Here is a 17,765-nt window from a genome sequence, read left to right as displayed (position 1 = left end):
AGAGGCTTCAAGAGATGGTTCAAGTATTCACAGATGCAGGGAACTCATATTAATACATCCCCCTATGGAGCTGACAGCTAATTATAGATATTGTTCATTACAATTAAAGAATCTTCTCTTAGCAGTGAGTAACAACACAATCACCATATTATAGGACATGGTTCTAGGTGCTCAATGGAAAAAATATGTCAACAAACTTTAGAGACCAGACAGGCTTTCTCTAATGCCCTATCTTTGCTTACGATTTCACTTGTATTTTCTACATTACGCAAGCATCCTCATCTTATTGTGATCTTATTTGCCACTCACAAGTTGATACAACACTGCCTCATAAACATTAACACTTCAATTATTTTCTACTTTCATATTCACACACTCCCTAAATAATTCGAAATAATGCAAGGTAATATATTTTGATTTTCATTCTTTGGTATCATTTACAGTGCCTATCAGTAAGGTCATAAAAATTATGGATTAAGAAATGTTCATAAAACTCAATAATTTTACATAATTAAATTTTATCAAAGGCTCAGGATGTGAAGAGAAGTGTTCTGATAAGTTATGTTCCCAATGACATATTCAAAACTGGAAACCAAACTGCTTGAAGGAGGTCATGCCACAGAAGTGCAAGGGATACCAAGTCTGACACCACCTCAGCTGTGTGACAGTGGCAGCTTACTTGTTTTTTCAGCCTTAATTTCTACATGTCAGTCGAGTTAGAATAAATTATCTTCGAAGTATGATCCAATAATAAAACCCTATAATTCTAATTTCCACTAACCTTATACCAAATCCAGTCCTAGGATAAGGTGTAGTACGACTCTCAAACTTCTGAAGGCATGTTACCAAAGGTTATGCCTCTCCAGAAGAAGAAGGAAGGGTTCTAACGAAGAGTAATCAAAGAGTAATCTTTGAAAAAACTAATCAATCTATGTGGCTGCAGCCCAACCAACCATCATAATTAGTGAACAATTCTATCTCAGTCATATTTCCTGCCCATAGAGTCTACATGCACTCCAAATGCTATTTAATTATCCTCAGGAATAAAGAGACCTGACTTGCAGGAGACAGAGGTTTGAATGTTTCTTTATTATTTAATTTGTCTAAGATAGTTAAAAAAACAAAAAAACAAAAATAAGAAAATAACATTACAATAAATTACACTGCCAGGCATAACTTTATAATACTATAAAACCAGAGGTTCAGATATGCAAAGGTGGTGGAATAGTAACAGCAAAAGAATAGAGAATACATGCTGTAGCCAACACCCCAATTAGGTTCCATCATGCTTACATACAGTAGGTGCTCAATTATTAAACTGAAAAGTCTCATCTAAAATTGTGAGACTAGAATAGAAAAACATAATAGAGTTGTTATCTTCAGTAAAATAACTTCTGGTCCTTTAATTCGCTGCAGTCTGAAAAATCCTTAATAAAAAGATAGTAGCAATATAAAGAATGGTTTTGTTTTCCTTTCATAAAATCTAGACTAGCAACTAGTCAAATAAAAGGAGACTTATGGTGTATAAATAACCAAAAGATAAGGACAAAACATTCCACTGGAATTCACATGATGCTATTCACAAAAACAAAAGAGCTAAGAACTGGAGGTGGTAAAAGACAGAAGAAACACTTGTCCTCATGTTGACAAACACCTCATGGAATATGTAGAGATGTGTGTTGTATATCTCCCCAAATTTCTAATATTCTGCATAGCAAATAAGTTTATATTAATTACTGATATTTATTATTCTTCAAAATAATACGCAATCAAGCACTAAGGAATACATACAATGTCACTTACAAGCAGAAGAGGTGGAAGTATGAAATACCTAGAAAAAAAACCCAAGTGAGCCGGGTGCGGTGGCTCACACCTGTAATCCCAGCAATTTGGGAGGCCGAGGTGGGAGGATCACCTGAGGACAGGAGTTCAAGACCAGCCTGGTCAACATGGTGAAACCCCATCCCTACTAAAAATATAAAAAATAGCCGGGCGTAGTGGTGTGTGCCTGTAATCCCAGCTACTTGGGAGGCTGAGGCAGGAGAATCACTTGAGCCTGGGAGGCGGAGGTTGCAATGAGCCAAGATCGTGCCACTGCACTCCAGCCTGGGCAATAAGAGCAAAACTTCATCTCAAAAAAAAAAAAAAAAGTGAGAAATAATGAGAAACTTTTCCTCTGGGGAACACAGGCAAAAATATTAACACATTTTAATTACTATAAAGTAAACAAGTCCTCTGACTGAATTCTAACTTTTACCTGAATTAACACAGATCTGACCAGGGACTAACAGGATGAATAAGAGTTGGCAAAAAGGGAAGCAAAGCTGAAGAAGAAAAACTTCAGAATTATCAAATTTTAGGATGTATGATTCTAAAATAAATTTATTTGACAATTTGGGAGATTTGACTCTGACAAGTGACAAAACCAATTAAAATTTGACAAATTATGTGGACCCACTATCATGTATTAAAGTAATAAATAACTTCGATACAGTACTACATAAATGCATTTTATATCTTGGTACTTCGGCAAACAAAACAAAAAGATAGCTACAGCTTTATAGTAAAAACAGCAGAACTGCAATTATACATTTATTCTATAAGGTTAACATCAGGGTTTCATAAATGTATGATTTAATTTTTTTTTATTTCTCTCCTATCACTGTTGTTAAAATTCTCAGAAAAACATTTGGCTGCTCCCAGACATATCTGGCTACTTACAGCATCTGTAGACCCAGGGAACTGTGTGTGCCACACTCGATCCAACGTGCAGCCAGCTTTCCTGAGTGAGAGCTCTGGCGTGTGTTCTGTAAAGTTACCGGTCATAAAATACTCTGCTCTAGGACCTAGGTTTCCTCACTGCTTAAAATAACCAACAATGTTTCCATCCATTATTTGTAGTTAACAAAGGAATTATGTATTGGATAAAACCAAAATGAAGATTTTAATAACAAATTTAAACAATTTTAGAGAACTTTTAAAGAAAATTCCTAAAGTTCTAAGTCTTATCCAGTGGGTATCAAAGAAAATACTATTCACAATTAATATCTAATGAAATATTAATCTTTAAATCATGGAAAGATATTCTATTCTCACTAAGCACCTATGAAAACACTGAATTAATCTGTAACTCTATGTGACTTGAAAGTCATAAATTCAGAATTAAAAACTTCAATTTATCCTCAAGAGTAGGATTTAATTTACAGATTCATAGTTAAATATCCATATTCACAAAATCATTACCATTTACAGTAAGGAAATAATGAAATAAAAATATTTTTTAAATGAAAAACATGAAAGGGTATTGAATATAACACGAATATAAAAGTCAATGAAATAACTAAATATATATAGCAGTACAAACATCCTAAGAATTCAAAGAAGATACCCTTTGGGCACAATTATTCAATCGTTATCGATATGGTAGGCTACTCGTTCCTAGAAGCTATAATTAGATACAATGTATTCTATCCATTTCCTTCAGATGTAAAATAACCAAGCTAAATAAAGTTATTCCTGTCCTGAATATGTTGTCTATTCTTTTAGTTGAAAGCAAACGTCGAGTAAATTCCTATTTATCTCCTTGCCAATCAAGGAATGAGTGACTGACACTAACATAGCCTTATCTGGGCCTTCTGTCTGCAGCACATTCCGCTAAGTGATGTCATTGCTCTAGCAGACGAAAATAAGCAGATTATTACAGTGACTAGAAGCAAACTAAACATTTGGATTTTTGCATGGACAGATTTACACACTGTCTGTCAGATAAAGCACAGTTTGCCTGCTGCTTACACAACAAGAATGTGCCTGACAGCTTCCTCCCAGGTTTAGTATCTGATTACATAAATAGGCCATTCCCCACCATTCCTGAAGACTGACAGTCTGTCTTAGCTTAAAGTGCAATTTTGGACTATCAGCTTTTCTGTCTTGCACACTAGGCTGATTAACATCAGAGTACTTGCTGGAGGTCCAATCAGGTTTTCCAACCCTAGGATTACAGGCCATATAAAAAGAGGCGGACACAATGGGTGGGGAAAGGTGACTGCTCCCAAGGTACATTTTTAAGGCTCAACCATTTTAACACACTTATTCATGTGTCCATATTTGTAGTACGACCTCAGAAATCATTCAGAAATAAAGCTAAATAGCTTTATTTATAAAATATGAAACACAATCACACAAAACATAATGGTAATACATAAGTGTTACTATTTTTACAGCTGCCATGTCTTATAATGAATATTTTTGCAATAGTCCATTAAATGAATGAAATGCCAATGACTTATCACAGTCCTAAAAAACCGTAACACTGAGATGAAAGAATGCTGAAAAAGTCATCTGGTATTAATTAACCTACTTCTTATCCCCACTATGATACCCAAAACAAAAATTACAGAATTAACACACTGGTACGGTTTGATGAATCTAAAAACATGGTTTAAAACTTACTTTGGCAGCAACAAAAATGTTAGTAGAAAGATAATGAGTAAATTGTATCTGTATAAATATTATGAACTTGCTGAAAATAGACGATTTCATTTTTTGCTTGTCTAAGACATAATAATAATAATAATAATAATAATAATATAGAGGTTCTGCAATTTAGTATCTAAGTTACAAATTATTCTGGGTCAAACTTTAGTTATTTAACAATTACATACTTCTCAACAAATATAGGCATGTGATTTTCATACAAATAAAAGCATTCAAAGTGGTCTGGGTGATGGAGACCTATGAATTTTCTTCTTCTTCTTCTTCTTCTTCGTTTTTTTTAAGAGATGGGGTCTTGCTTTGCTGCCAAGGCTAGAGTGCGATGGTGTAATCATAGCTCACTGCATCCTTGAACTCCCAGGCTCAAGGGATCCTCCTTCTGGGAAGCTAGGTTCACAGGCACGCACCACCACACCTGATGGATTATTTTATCTTTTAAAAGAGACAGGGTCTTGTAATGTTGCCCAGGCTGGTCTCAAACTCCTGGGCTCAAGCAATCCTCCAGCCTCGATCTCCCAAAATGTTGAGATTACAGGCGTTAGCCACTGTACCTGGCCATATTCTCTTTTAATAAGACAAAGCTAGGCAGTAGCCATGAAGGGAGTATTGAATATCTTAACTGTGTTGAGAGGACACCATTTGTTTCTCGTTTTCTTAGGTATGACACTATTTGTGAGCTACTGGAAGGAAAAAAGTTCAAGTATCTCTACTATTAATTTATCAATTAAACAAACATCTTTTAAACATCTACCATGGGGCCAGGTCCTATCCTGTGTTCTGGAAATACAAAGATAAATAGGACACAGGGCCTATCCTCCAGGTACATAAAATCTGATAAGGAAAAGAGACAAGCAAACACATAAATAACATCTCAAAGTAAGTAATTTATCTTTTCACAGATAAATGTATTTTTTAGATTCAAATGGCAATCTATTCCAATATCAAGCAATTCTCCTTCTCAGGACAACGCTGTGAAACCTATCCTATACTTTCTCATGAAAAGATTTGCTTCCTCCTTAATTATCTTTCTACTTTCCTACAAAAATCCATCTCGAGTTAAATTAATGATTTTATGAAACACAGGTCTGAACATTACACACATATAAAACCTACATACAGCTAAAAACTGACCTGTGCTCTCTGGTTTCCTTTCAGAACTGCCCCACATTTGATCTTTCCAGTGTTACACGTTAAATACTAACATTTAGCTGAAAACGTCTGACTGCCTAACACTATAATGTATTTCTAGTCTTTTTCATTTGTTTCTAGACACCAGCATTAATGAACTGTGATAGAAACAGTTTTGGGAATCACAAAGGGTGATGTTACTTATAATGGTAAACAATTAGAAGTCATAAACACAATATTGTTTCTAGTAATTTCAGCTATAACTTTCAACATGCGTACCCAGACAAACCAGATGAAATATGTTGCTTCAGGTCAGCTCTGATGGATCCCTCAGAAATATCAGCATTATTGCTTTTATTTTATTATGTACCACACTTCATAACCGTACACTGCGGAGTACAATAAAAACTCCACTACAGAGCTTGAGTACTTATTAAACAGGTCAAAAGTTACCATAACAAATAACTCGCTGTACTCAGGGGCCATTAATAACGTATCTTGTTGCTCAGATAAGGAAATTTTTTAAAAAAGACAAAAAAAAAAGGGCAAAAAGGGAAAAATGCAGAACAATCTGAAATTGTTAATGTGTCTGATTGTCCTTTCCTGATCTCCTTTAACCCTTTCCTTTTCCAGTTTCTTTCATAGGGATTTGAAGCACATGCTCAACATTATTGGTCATATATTAATATTTTTCTTGAATCTAGAAATTTATTGCTATATGTTTAAGCATATGCCCAACAATTTTGAAAGAACTACATGAAACATTGAGATCAATAAGGAAAAGTGGAAGATGACTGAACAGGGCAGAAAGGTCACAGTCCACTAGGATCTGCAAGCCTCGAGAAGTGATGGTCACCAACAGCCCCCAGACTGCGTCCTCCACAAGAAACAGCTTACACAAGTACTACCTGTTCCCTCAAAGATTATATCAACTTACAGAAAACAAATTCATGAAGGGAATGCCAAATTCAAGCTATACTAAAAAGCCAGCCAGTGACTATTTTTCAGGATAGGTAGTATGGCTACCATTTGGCTGTACAAAGTAGATGCTTTCTATAAATACAATCAGCTGAATCTGAAGATGACCACTGCAACAGCAAAATAGAAAACAATAAGTAAGAGGAGGTTAATACAAAAACAAATTATATTGATGGTACCCATAGGAAATATATTTAAAATAAAAAATATTTACAGAAAAGGGGGTGTTAATACGTGGACATTCATTATTTCTGTCATGAGGAAGGCAGGCAGGAAGGCAGGAAAAAAGGAAAGAAGGAGGGAGGGAAGGGAGGGAGAGAGGAAGGGAAGGAGGGAGGCAGGGAGGGAAGAAGAGAGGGAGGGAGCAAAGGAAGGGAGGAAGGAAGGAAAGGAGGGGAAGTAGGAAATGAAGGAAGGAAGGGAGGAAGGGAAGGAAGAGAGGGTGGGAGGGAAGGAAGGGAAGGAAGAAAGGGGAGAGGTAGAAGGAGTCAGGGAAGGAAGCAAAGGGAGTCAGGAAGGTGGGGAAGGAAGGGGAGGGGAGGGGAGGGGAGAGGAGGGGAGGTGAAGAAAGGGGAGGGGAGGGGAGGAAGAACAGCCAGACAACCAAAACACAATACCAAGGAAAGGAATGACACCACAAAGAGATATCATAAGATACATTTGCCATCAACATAAAATATAACCAAATATAATCAAACAATAAAAGTACATGGACAAAAGGATTCAAGTACTCAGTACTTCATTAATTTAAAAAAAAGCTACTTTATGAACTCATAATTTTCACATAATTACAAACTATGATATTACTATAAGGCAAATTCACCTTCTTACAAGTATTTTGATGAGAATTTCTGAAGTATTATATTTATTTCTTAAATAATTACTGACAATGATCTGATTTTTTTTTTAGAATGTGTTATCCATTTTCCATCACAAGAATCAAAAGATTTAAAATTAAACTTATTTATGAGTTACAGATTTCCCCAGAGCCTAGCCTAGTGCCTAGCACCTAACAGGTGCTCAATAAATTCAAGGAATTAAAATAAATTGATTTGTTTCCTTACTTTGGTTTATCAGAAAGTTAACCATCTATAAAATACTTGTAAATATTAAGGAAGAATATGAAATAATTCTCAAAAACTATTAAACATAGTCCAGAAGTATGGTTATTCCCCCAAAATTAGCAGAAGAAAACAAATTATTCATAAATCACATTAATCAGTGCTGTGTTAGCCATCTGAAACACGTCGAATATCAGCCTCTGAAGTGCCTGTGAATAGTCATTGCTGCTGGTGTACATGAAACGCTGTAATTGGTTTAAATCGGCCTTGCCCATCTGTCTTTAATACTCTTATTACAAGGCAGTAAGCAGAGAACTATTAGAGCTGCAGTATACGCTGTAAGATCTTTACCCGTTCTTAAATCATTTAAAAATAATGAGAGCTTTAGCCTTTATCTAATTAACGAGTGCCTTCTTTGAATTAGAAAAACTGTATCATTTAGCCCACGGTTGTTTAGTAAATTGGCTTGGTGGCATGTAAGCTAACGCAGGATAGCAGTTCCAGTGTCTTGTTCCTGGCTTCTTATTACTTGAATTATAATTCAATGATCACCTTAGATCATGGGCTATTCATAAATCAGAAGCCTGACATCAGATGAAAAATTGTATTAATATATGAAACTTATTATATAGTACAAACTGCTCTCTTGATAAATTACATTGTTCAAACTTGACAATGATTGCATTTAAAACATTATTCCTGTTTGCTGTTTTACAGACTGAAACCTCTTCATGAAAAATTTACAATGCTCCTCTGTGTTTTGGAGTCAGAGGGCAATAGTAGCAAATGGCAGACAGAAACCATACTTTAGATTTGCTGGCAGCTACAGAGGACAGAAAACACTTCCAAGGATGGGAAGAAAAACCCTCAGCTGCATCCCCAGGTTCTACATTTCTGGCTTTATAAAGATACTAATTGTCCTCACCAGCAGAAGCATAGTAAATAATAAAATTTTAATTTCAGCTTACTAGATTGCTTTCTTCTCCTATATAGGTGTTTCAAAGAAATTTATAGTCATAAATGTTTCACAGGAATTTATAGCGTGAGAGGAAAAAATAAAGGGGCAAACCCATGAAGTTTAATTTGAATTGGGGCCGAGCTCCTTAGATGATGCGTTGTGACAAATGCTTTTGCCAAGGCTGACTGGGTAACTCAAGCTGTATTCCATATTATTTACATTAATTACATGAAGGCTGCTTTGTTAATGGTACATTCTGGTGTGGGTCGCAGCATGATATGCTAATGATCTAAGAAAAATCTGCATCTCCAATATTTATGATAATTTGTAATAGAAAATAGGGTTGCTTTTATTTCCTTCTCCTCACTGGAACAAAAAAAGTCCGAACAAAACAATTTTATTCAGAGAAGAAAGGGAAAGTTCTAATCGCCAAGACATGTAAGTGTTGTAAACAAAAGGGAAGACTCTCTTATTGTTAGGGCTGTTGTCACAGCCTTTGACAAAGTGATAATACGGCAGCTCTCTACACGCCTTTCAGTGTGAGGTGTGTATCAAGTCAAATTGAATGGGATAAAGCAAAAATGTAAAGTATAACTTCCAACACCAAATAATCTCTCCTGTTGTTAGGTGTTTCCACCCTCCCTCTTCACAGCTACCCCCAACAAGAATTCAGATAAGCTTCAAACAAACAGTTAATTTACAATAAGTTGCATGCATTATACAAGAGGCCAGAAGATATTTGCTAGAGGATATTTGCTATTTTTACAAAACCCATTGCAACTTTTGAGAAATCTTATGGTGGAAATGTACAACCCCAAGATTATGAGTGCAAAAACATAATCTGTATGTATTAAATATCAGAACATTTTATTCATATTGTTATTCTTTTAAATTATTTTGAAATTTATGAAACACTAAAAGTAATAGTAATTTCACATTATGGCTTTTGGGAATATGAAAACTAAGAGATAAAAGGTTCAAAAAAATATTGGATATTGGATTTAAAAGTACCAAGCTTTTGTGATTATTACTGTTAAATTATGCTACATGTATCTTCCAACGACTGTTAAACAATTTTAAACATACGTTTTGCTTTATTATTATGGATCACATTTTGAAAATCCTTCTTTAGCAATAAGCATCAACAAAGCTTTAGCATGATAAAGTTAATGTGTTTTCAAATCAATAGTGGCCTATTGAAATAAAAGCTCCCGTAGGTATGCACCCTAGCCTACAAAATAGAACAAACAATCTTAGCAAAACCAATAGATCTGATGGTTTGCAAATGTCTTGTACTGAGGCCAGAGCCCAAATTCTAAAGCATCAGTGAAACTAAGCACAACTTATTTATAGGTTGAGTTATTAAGTCATTTCCATTTACTAACAGAATAAGTTTCCAAAGAAATATAAAATATTTTTTAGAGAACACATAATGGTGTGTTCTAAAGACTGGAAATTGAAAACTATATATAGATTGAGAATAAAAATGCCTAACAAGAAAGAAATATTTCACTAATCTATAAGTTAGTACTAGGTTTCAATAATCTATGTTTAATATGAGAAACAGAAATCTGGACAGTGGTCAGCTCTGGGGAAATGAAAAGGATGCAGCCAGAGAGAAGCCCGCAGAACACTTCAAAGGCAGCGGTTCGGGTGCATGTCTTAAGCTGCATGGGTGCTATAAGGTTGTTTCTGTCATTATTCTTGATACTATATATATAGGCTATGTGTGTGTGTCTGTGTAGTGCATTGGGTGTGTAATATATATTGTTGTATGTATGAAATATTTGATTATTAAAAAAAGGAATTGAGAAAAACAATCCAATCTCAATAAATATTTTTAAAGGGGGAGATTATTTTTCAAAAACTTCATGGGAAAATTAATGTTATTATTTTGCCATAATAACTAAAGCTTAAACTTTTCATTCTTTGACAAGAAATGTCACAGGGCCTCATAAGCTAATGTTTTATATTATAGATTCAAAACCAAGGAAATAAAGTGTTTGTGTAAAATTATCACTACTTGTTACAGCAAAAGTATGAATTTTGTAAGAGATGCTTATTTGTCTCCATGTAGGTAGCTCATACTATGCTGATTAGAAGACACATTTCTCACAGTAAACACTATATATAATCAAAGAACATTAGAATACCAAGTAATCTTACAAATTATCTAACACACTAATTTAACAACTAAGGAAACAAAATTTAGGACTTCCATAAACTGCTGGAGAGTGGTAAAACACAGATCTTTTGACTTTTGTCTAGGACTCTTTTAGTCATAAAACACTGCCTCCCGTATCACCTGTCCCCAGGGGTGGATACTGTGGTGCAAGACATTAAACCCCTCACGCTGACCCTGTAAAGCAGTCAGAGAGGCTGGGCCCCCTCACTCATCCGCCAGACATTCGCAAACCATTATATATGTGACAGGTAATGTTAAGAGGTCTGGAAACTAAATGATCAATAAATTCTGCCATGAAGTCATTAAAATTTGTCCAGTGGCTTCCCACTGATCCGAAAACAAAATCCCAATTCTTTACCATGACTTCTAAGAACTGACATAATCTAAGCCCCGCTCGCATCCCCTCCTGGTCTATTAGCACTACCGTTGTGCACACCACACTTAAGCCACACTTGTCTCCTACTGCTTGTCAGACTTGGAAAACTGTCTCCTTAATTTTGAGGTAGATTGCTGGGTGGGTACACAGTGGGGATGGACAGATGAACAAACAGAGAGCAGCAACACAGACAAGTAAAGCAACAAAGATAACATGCTGGAAATGGGCAGAAGTACAGATGGTTCTGACAGGTAGCGCTGCAGACTCTTTGTAATGAAGGACATATGAGTTACAGTTAAAGGTGAATGTTAAGATCACAGGCATATTAAATTCTTTAAAACTTTATGAAAAAGAATAACTATTCAATTACAAACCAAAATCTATAATCGTAAAGCCTAACGATGCAAAGAAGACAACTCTGGCCCCAATCTCAGGATGTCTGGCCACTCAGACAAGTCAGTTCAGAGGTGCAGGATGTGTTCCTGAGTGGTAAAGTATAATCACAAATGAATGAATGCAAAACAAATAAAATCCTCCTCCTAAGAAACTTGGTTCAGTGAACAAAAGCTCCTCCATCTGTTAACTGGAAAACGGAAGGCTTTCTACGATTTACTCTATAAAACATGAATGCCATAGAAGTATGCTCAGAAATCACAATATTTATGAAATGATACAAAGACAACAGTAGTGGCTAGGAGCATTAATTGCAAGCTCTCTGACAATTCAGATATGATAAAAGCCATTCTAATCTAGTGTAGCAAAGATGTACACACATTTGATACGTTTTTTCCTTTCCTAGGGAAAAAGGTGGACCTTCTCAGCCAGAACGAATACTAGCCAACATGATCCACACTTAGAAACTAGCCACAGTTTCTTGTTCCTTAAGGAATCATAATTTGGATTAAATTGTGATATTAATTAATTTGACTAATCCATTAAAGAACCAGTTGACTATGAAATTATACAGCAAACAGAAATTGTATACATAATACAAGATTTAGAAAATTGTAATAAATGTATTTCAGAAGTGAACTACTCCTAACCTAATATAAATCAAGTATCACATCACAAACCTTGAAAAAATCATTTGCAATTGATTTTTTATGAAGCCTCGGTTATGACTTACAACTCATTTTTCAGAACAGCCTTCTTGGCTACCACCTTACACTCTAATTTAAAACGAGAATGTGCACCCAAGCTCACTTCCTTCTTTTGCCCCCTTCTGTTGAATAAGATTTGACAGATATTTGATATTATAAGAAAGTGAAGAAATGAAATCATGTTTAATGTGTAGCTATTATTACAAAACTCTACCAGATACTCTAAATTACAGAGCTCAAAATATTAAATTACAAACTATGAGAAAACTTGCTCAGAAATAATGCTACTATATTTAATAATAAAAATTTATATTATATAGTCTTCATTCTAAAAATAATTCCAGATTTTGTTCCAAATTTAACTTACAAATGTGAAAATTATCTTAGTTTGATACAGCTAGTTGTCAATTTGACATGTGTCACAGTTCTTTTTTAGGTATAAATACTATTCCCTCCCCTCAAAAGTTATGCATATTTCCTATACCTGTTTAATTCAAGGGTATAAATTTTAAAAATTACTTTTAAAATTTCTGTTAAATTATTTTAGAAGAAAAATAAAGCCAGCAATGCGCGCGCGCGTGCGCGTGCGTGCGTGCGTGTGTGTGTGTGTGTGTGTGTGTGTGTGTGTGTAGCATGCATCCATGCATACAGATAAACACAGAATGTTTTTAGGACCAGAAAGTCCTGACTCAGCGTTCCTATTCTCTGCCGCGGTAGGCGCCTGTCCATGCTCCCGTGACAATGTGTCCCTGGAGTGGAGCAGGAGATGCCTCTATGACCCAACCACTGCCATGCGGCTGCTACCCTTTCAGTGCATGCGCTCTGATGTCTCTTAAGGAGCACCCTCTCCATAATCAGAGTTGCACATTCCTTTCTTGATAGACTGCTCTAACTTTTGTTCAAGATGCCCTAATGTTTTTGACAACCTGTACAAGCCGAACATTCCAGCAAGAATTCCAAATGAATGCTAAGGGCACTTTGCATCGTTTTGTTCTGTATTGTTCACTCTTGCTGATTGTGTCCTAAATAATAAACTGTGGCCTCTGGCGATTTTTCTCAGAATGTTTATGATGAGAACTCATTCATCTAAATCTGCTGGCCAGTGGAATAAAATAAATCAAGAATTTCCCAAATATAACAATATTTGTGTTCAGTAGATAATTGATGACTGCAGCTGCACTAATTAAAACCCATCTGAGTTTCATTAATCTTGGTCACCAGGACCAATTGCCATGCTCCACACCTCACGCACAGCCTCGCGCCCTTGTGCCTGGGTCACATTCAGGTGGCCATACTCCCAAGTTTCTGATAATGTAAAATACTTCAAATGAACATATATAAGTATAATACATAAATGTGTAACCACTCATGACATTTCTCTAATTTTCAGAATCATGAAAATCACATAAATGTTTTATATCAGGGAATACTGCCATGATTATACATGTTCTCTGCTTGTTAAAAAAGAAAGAAATGTGTCAGTAACTTGTGGCTCACATAAGTATGCACAGGAATAGCGAGAACTCGCGGCAATAATGAAGTGTCTCATAGATCATACTTGCATGGAGCATAAACACTTCCCAAGAACAACTGTACAATTTATACTTAAGAAAAGACGTTTGAATAATCAGTCCTATTACGATATCACTGCTAGGAACTGAGTTTATAAAAATACTTTTAAACATTTTCTACACGTTAATTTATCTTCAAAATGTGTATCAAGGAGAACCATAGTTTTCCATGCAAACCAAAGAACACCGTAAGTAACAGCAGACAGGCAAAAAGAATCCTTATCAGGGGAATTATTTTTATGGACCTCCAGATATACAGTTTGAATTCTAATCACTCATTCATTTAAGAAATCTTTATTGAGAGCCTAATGCAGTTTCAGACACTCTCTAATCCAGGTGCTGATGATAATAGCAATGGACAAGAAAACACCCAGTTTGTGCTCTCGAGAGTTCTTTATTAGTGGTTGGAAAAACTGAATAAACATAATACGGAACACGAAGGTCAGTGCTATGAAGAAAAATCAAGCAAGTAAGGGGCTGCTACATGGGTGTGGAGTACCATTTGAAACTGAACAGTGAGAGGAAACTTTTCTAATAGAATAGTATTTGAGCAGAAACTGAAAGGAACTGAAAGCATCAGCCTTTATTTGTTATAAACCAAAGAAAAGAGTATAAGTAATCAAGTTTTAGGGTTGGTCAAATCTATACATTTAAGAAATAAAAATATTCGTTGAATTCATAGATTAGACCCACTGGCATGGGAGTGCATCTGCCATAAGGTAGGGTACGGAAACAGGCGTACTGGCAAGTGAAAGGAGGAAAAGAGGGAAAGGAGTAGAATGCGTGGATAGAACAGACAGAGAAGTATGAATTAAGATGACACCCTGGACATCAATTAAGAGCTATATACTAAAGCTGAAGAAGTGACCCATCTCAAGTTTTTTAGGAGAAACAAATCAAAGGAAAGAAGAGGAAAATTGGGCAACAAAGAAATCTATCCATTAACCATGGAATCAAGTTTTTAAAAAATATCTTGAGTTTTCACTAAAAGATTTAAAACAGTGTTTCACTAAAACATTTAAAACAAGATAGACTTGTACCTTTTAGTAAAATAAAAGTGCAAAAATGGTAAATATTTGTAGTGTTCAGTGTTTTTAAAATTTCACTGGAAAACCCTTTAACTTCCAACAAAAGAGACACAATCAAAGAAACAATGTACCATTCACCTATTCCACAGCTTCAGGTATAATTTCATGAATGGGGCTATTTTTCCCTCTAATTTTAACATATGGCCTCATAGTCAAAAGGCTTTCTTCTGAAAGGATTAGCCTCCTTATGAAAATAAGTTATACTTATTCATTAATAAAAGGTTCAAAGACCAGTAAAAACAAAATGTTTTGTTAGCTTATCTTACATGCACTAAATGGAAATCAAACTCTACACAGCCAACTTTTCAATATTCCACAGTACATAAACAGGAGATTTCAATCTTATTATCTTTTCTTGAAGCTGGCACTCATTTCCTCCAGAAGCATGCTACCCATGGTGGTAAGTCTCAGGGAATCTCCTTCGTCTCTTTCTCAGGACATCGCTGGAAGGATGACTGTCTAAGCAGGTGCACAGGTGTAGGCAGGAATGCACTAAAGACTGAAGAGCACGGAGGTGCAGCGGACAGGGCACCGCTACTGTTTTGCTTTGCTCATGGCTGTGAACCCAGGGTCTCAAGGCACAGAGTCTGACAACTCCCCGTCCCCCACCCCTGACCACACACTTTCTCATCTAAAGAAGATACTCTGTGGAACTGTACAGATGTGGTCTCATTTACACCTCAAAATGCCTCTATAAGGTAAACATTACAACTACCTTTTAAGAGATGAAAAAGCTGTGCTTAGAAAAGCAAAGAAACGGCGGGGTGCAGTAGCTCACGACTGTAATCCCAGCACTCTGGGAGGCACAGGCGGGCGGATCACGAGGTCAGGAGTTCGAGACCAGCTTGCCCAATATAGCGAAACCCCGTATCTACTAAAAATACAAAAAATTATCTGGGTGTTGTGGCAGGCGCCTGTAATCCCAGCTACTTGGGAGGCTGAGGCAGGAGAATTGCTTGAAACCGGGAGGCGGAGGTTGCAGTGAGCCGAGATTGCGCCACTGCACTCCAGCCTGAGTGACAAGAGAAAAACCCCGTCTCAACAACAACAGCAACAAAAAATAAAAAATAAAAAAAAAAAAAAGAAACAAAAGTAGCCCAAAGTCACCACAAGAAGTGGCATTGAAGGAATCCAAATTCATGTGACTTCAAATCCATGGTTTGCCACTTCAGTACAACGCAGAATTTTCAAGCTAGAATTGACTGTGAAACAGACTTTGATGACAATCTAATATTCACGCATACATCACAAAAACAAAGGCTCAGGATGGTTTAGAAACTTGTCCCAGGGACACAGCTTATGAATAGCCTCTATGAAAGTAGCCTAAATTCTAGCCAGAGATCTTCTCACCTTTATACTGTGGAAACGGGGCAACACTTTGGGTACATGAAAGTATGTCAACCTCAGGAGCTGAAGCGAGAAAAAGATGCTGCTGGCCTTACGGCTCAACTCTTGCCCATGTGTCTCCAATGATCAGTGTTATAACTTGAGGAATAAAAAGTTTTGCCTACTGAGGTATTTATATAAAAATATAAAATATTTTATCAAATTTACATTCTGTTTCTTTGTTATATTTTATTTTCTAGCTTCTACAAAACAATGAAACCAAAGATGAGATGTTCATTGAAACCAAGGATTAGACAGCTGAATTACAGCAGCCATCATCTTGCCCACATGCCCATGTAGACATAAAGCATCCGTCACAACCCAGTGTAAGCACTGGCCTTACTTCCTGTACCTTCTTTTCATTCTTTTTTACGGTTTTATTGTTTCAATTCCTTCAAGAAACTCCAAAACTTTCCAGTCAAGTATCACCCAAAAATGACTCTGCTGACCTTATTTCAAATCATTGATAAACTTCCTTAATATCTGAAACAGAAATGTGGCGCAACAAGCAACTGCTCAGTTCTTCTCAACGTTTCTCAATTCATATCATTATTAAGCTGTAGTTTATGGTCCTCAGACATGTTTCAATGAAATATATAATAAGTCTGGAAAACAATGTATGTCTGTGAAAAATCCTATATGAGTTCAGGTTTGTCACGCTATAAAATATATGGATTTCAAGGTAATAATTTCTAGAAATAAACAAATTTGTAATTAGAAAAAAAGGCATCACTTCTAAATTTAAGTTTATAAAAAGTCCAGCTGAAAAAACTAGTCAGTATACACACACGACAATAGCCTTACATGAGAGGAAAAAAAGGTGTATCTTGGATGAAAGGTTCCCAACGTGAGAGAAGGATGAAAACACTGTGCTGGGTAGCGTGTTTTTTTTTTTTTGTATTTTACCTCATTTTATACATATCATAGAATAAACATGATTATTTTTAAATGACAAAAAATTCTTTAAAGGAAGAGATATCAGATTGGGAAGATACTTCAGATAACTGGAAACAAACATGGTCACACACTGCAATATGCTGACAGCAGACATACACACTACACATGTTGTCGACTTTCTCCTTCATTAACCATATGACAAAGCTGCTTTAAAAATACAAGAGAAGGCTATAGTAGGAGGTGCTTCCACCTGTATTTCTGCTGGCAGTTTCTTCCTCATGTTTGCCAAAAGAGAAAAAAAGAAATTAAAAAATAGAAAGTTAAAAAGATGAGAACCAGTAAGATTTTGACTCTTGATGAGAATCATGAAAACCTAGACCCTTATAACTTTAAAGCAAAGAGCTTTTGAACTGAAATTAATAATTCAACGATAACAGTTTTGAAGTGGGAAGAGGTCTTAGAGGAAAGATAGAAAGCCAAGTATTTTTCAGCTAAGGCCTAGGGAGAAAAACATGGAGTGGTTGATATGAGAGAAGTGAGATGCAT

General features: G+C 35.8%; 1 protein-coding gene across 4 annotated transcripts in view, besides 1 other annotated feature; it reads right to left on the bottom strand.

Moving 5' to 3' along the window:
* Nucleotides 1-17,765, bottom strand: part of ZNF407 (zinc finger protein 407) — a 467,802-nt gene that overhangs the window by 200,600 nt on the left and 249,437 nt on the right. The window lies entirely within an intron of this gene.
* Nucleotides 7,746-9,356: an enhancer, noted in NCBI's record as "VISTA enhancer hs824". NCBI's record gives its function as "enhancer in: limb[6/6]" and the evidence as "EXISTENCE:transgenic organism evidence [ECO:0001131][PMID:17130149]".

This window comes from Homo sapiens, chromosome 18 (assembly GCF_000001405.40).
Source record: "Homo sapiens chromosome 18, GRCh38.p14 Primary Assembly".
NCBI lineage: Eukaryota > Metazoa > Chordata > Mammalia > Primates > Hominidae > Homo > Homo sapiens.
Note: the sequence above shows the minus strand (reverse complement) of the source record. Positions and strands in the feature narration are given on the sequence as shown.